At 46.9% G+C, this 3,664-nt stretch overlaps 1 annotated feature.

Moving 5' to 3' along the window:
* Positions 289-348: a silencer, noted in NCBI's record as "silent region_6182". NCBI's record gives its function as "represses an Ori minimal core promoter by ATAC-STARR-seq in GM12878 lymphoblastoid cells {active_cell/tissue: GM12878}" and the evidence as "EXISTENCE:reporter gene assay evidence [ECO:0000049][PMID:35858748]".

Raw genomic sequence — 3,664 nt, forward strand, 5'->3', positions numbered from 1 at the left:
GAGTGGCAGGTGTGGGTCCCAGGCGAAAGAGGTCGACTAAAGAGGAGCTGTTCATCATGGGGTGGGCACTCAGGAAGAGCCAGAGATTCCTGGGCTTGGAGCACCAGCATCTCAGCATGTTCCGACAGAAGGGGCCTCAAGGTGACTCCCTTTGGGAAGCTTTGGCTTGAACCCACTTTTCCTCCAGCAGCGCAGAGCTTCTCGCTCGCTGGTGTGCACCGGCGCGCTGTCCAGCAGGGGGCGCCACTCCCAGGGCCGCTTCCCCGCGGGAGCCCTCCCTTCCTGGCATATCGTGGGAGCAGCGTTCCCTCCCACACACCTGACTTAGAACCCCCAGAGTTCTCACATGCGAGTCGCACTTGTCTGCTGTATTCTGAGTATATTGTGCTTGCAAATCAATCCTAAGTGAATTCTATTTTGAATTCAACCAATGAATGTAACGAAACCTCAATCACTGAACAGAGAAAGCAAGTTTGAGTTATGTAAAACTAAATGATGAGTTATTTTACTTTATTTTTAATTTTATTATTTTTTTTTTAGATGGAGTCTCCCTCTGTCGCCCAGGCTGGAGTGCAGTGGCGCGATCTCGGCTCATTGCAACCTCTGCCTCCCGGGTTCAAGTGATTCTCCTGCCTCAGCCTCCCGAGTAGCTGGGATTACAGGTGCCCACAACCATGCTCAGCTAATTTTTGTGTTTAGAGATGGGGTTTCTCCATGTTGGTCTGGCTGGTCTCGAAGTCCTGACCTCAGGTGATCCACCCACCTCGGCCTCACAAATTGCTGGGATTACAGGCGTGAGCCGCCATGCCTGGCATGATGAATTATTTTAAAATAAGGCTTATTGATATCTCATTTAATTCTTAACTTTATGAAGAATGCCTTTTTATCTTCTTTTGCTGCTTACAAGTTCACACAGCATCTCAAGCCTGGATTACTGGCCAAGAATGATGTATAATGACCACCTCACTTACTTATCTGTAGGTGGGTATTTCTAAATGCTTATGGGTACTTACATTTTAGGACTCCTCAAATATTTTATTATTATTATTATTATTGGAGGTGGAGTCTCACTCTTGGCTGGAGAGCAAGTGGCGTGATCTCCACTAACTACAACCTCCGCCTCCTGGGTTCAAGTGATTCTCCTGCCTCAGCCTCCCGAGTAGCTGCGACTACAGGCATGTGCCATCACATCCGGCTAATTTTTGTAATTTTAGTAGAGACAAGGTTTCGCCATTTTGGCCAGGCTGGCTTCGAACTCCTGACCTCGAGTGATCTGCCCACCTTTGCCTCCCAGAGTGCTGGGATTACAGGCATGAGCCACCGCACCCACCCAGGACTCCTCAAATATTTTAATATTACTCTGGCACATTTGATTAAATAGCACTAAATTTCCCTATCTATGAAGAAACTATTTGCTCAAATAAAGGGGTAAATTTCAGCCCAGGCACTCTGAGAATTATCAATGGTTTTGAGACAGGATTTAATGTATCATATTGGATACTTTTCATTCATTGAAAAACTAGGTCTTTATTTTCTGAGGGTTAGCCTAGAATTTTTTTTTTTTTTTTGATATGGAGTTTTGTTCTTCTTGCCTAGACTGGAGTGCAATGGCATGATCTCGGCTCACTGCAACCTCCACCTCCCGGGTTCAAGCGATTCTCCTGTCTCAGCCTCCCGAGTAGCTGGGATTACAGAAGCCCGCCACCACACCCGGCTAATTTTTGTATTTTTAGTAGAGACGGGGTTTCATTGTGTTGGTCAGGCCGGTCTTGAACTCCTGACCTTAGGTGATCTGCCCACCTTGGCCCCCCAAAGTGCTGGGATTACAGGTGTGAGCCACCACGCCCAGGTTTTTTTTTTTTTTTTTTTTGAGACAGGGTCTCACTGTCCCGCACACTGGAGTGCAGTGGTTCGATCATGGCTCACTGCAGCCTCAACCTTCTGGGCTCAAGAAATCCCCCTGCCTTAGCCTCCCAAAGTACTGGGATTACAGGCATGAGCCACCACGCTTGGCCAGCATAGAATTTTTAGAAACCTTTTTTTTTTTTTTTTTTTTTTTTGAGATGGAGTCTCACTCTGTCACCCAGGCTGGAGTGCAGTGGCGTGATCTCGGCTCACTGCAAGCTCCGCCTCACCAGTTCACGCCATTCTCCTGTCTCAGCCTCCTGAGTAGCTGGGACTACAGGCGCCCGCCACCATCCCCAGCTAATTTTTGTATTTTTTTGGTAGAGACAGGGTTTCACCGTGTTAGCTAGGATGGTCTCGATCTCCTGACCTCGTGATCCACCCGCCTCGGCCTCCCAAAGTGCTGGGATTACAGGCGTGAGCCACCGCACCCGGCCAGAAACTTTTCTTATAGCTTTATTGAAGTATAAAGTCTCCACATAACATTATGTCTACATAATTTGGAGGTTATTGGTAAGTTTCACATTAATTGCACAATTTGATGAGTTTTTTTTTTTTTTTTGAGATGGAGTCTCACCTTATCACCAGGCTGGAGCGCAGTGATGCGATCTCAGCTCATTGCAACCTCCGCCTCCTGGTTCAAGTGATTCTTCTGCCTCGGCCTCCCAAAGTGTTGGGATTACAGGCATGAGCCACCGAGCCTCGCCAATGAGTTTTAACATATATATACACAGTCAAACCATCCCCACAATCAAGAAAATGAACAGATCCATCACCCCCCAAAGTTTCCTCCTGACTTTTTGTAATCAATCCCTCCTCCTCCATCTCTGCTGTGTTTCCCTTAGATGAGCCCAGGAGTTCAAGACCAGATGGCATCTCTCTCATTCCTGATATTGATTTTATCTTCTTCCTTTATTTTTTTCTTGATCAGTCTGGCTAGCGGTTTATCCATTTTATTGACGTTCTCAAAGAACCAGCTTTTGGTTTCATTGATCTTTCTCCATTGTTTTTCTCTTTTTCGTTTCTTTTTTTTTTTTTTTTAAGGAGGGGTCCTGCGGCCGGGTGCGGTGGCTCACACCTGTAATCCCAGCACTTTGAAAGCCCGAGGCGGGAGGATCACGAGGTCAGGAGATTGAGACCATCCTGGCTACACGGTGAAACCCCGTCTCTACTAAAAATACAAAAAATTGCCGGGCGTGGTGTCACGCACCTGTAGTCCCAGCTAGTCAGGAGGCTGAGGCAGAAGAATCGCTTGAACCGGGGAGGTGGAGGTTGCAGTGAGCTGAGATTGCGCCACTGCACTCTGGCCTGGGTGACAGAGCGAGACTCCATCTTGAAAAAAAAAAAAAAGATGGGGTCTTGCTATGTTACTGAGGGAGATCTTGAACTCCTGAGCTCAAGCAATCTTTCTATCTCAGCTTCCTGAGCCTGGGATTATAGGCACATGCCAGAGTGCCCAGCTCTCTGTTTTCTCTTCCATTGAAACGTCTAATTTCTTGTCTTTCCCATCTTTGGCTTGGGAAAAATTTGCTCTTTTCTTTGTAGTTTCTTACGTCTCATGTCTGGTCCACCTAACAGGCTTATTTCTATTAATTAACCCAGTGGAGTCTATGGTAAGCATCAGTATCTTGGAGTTCAGTTATGGGAGACTCATTGCCTCCAGACTGATTAGCTCTGGAGGACAGGCTAAATCAAATTTCTACTCTGGCAATAGAAAGAGCTACCAGGTTCCTGGACCACAATAGCTGCACTGAGCATG

This window comes from Homo sapiens, chromosome 14 (genome assembly GCF_000001405.40).
Source record: "Homo sapiens chromosome 14, GRCh38.p14 Primary Assembly".
NCBI lineage: Eukaryota > Metazoa > Chordata > Mammalia > Primates > Hominidae > Homo > Homo sapiens.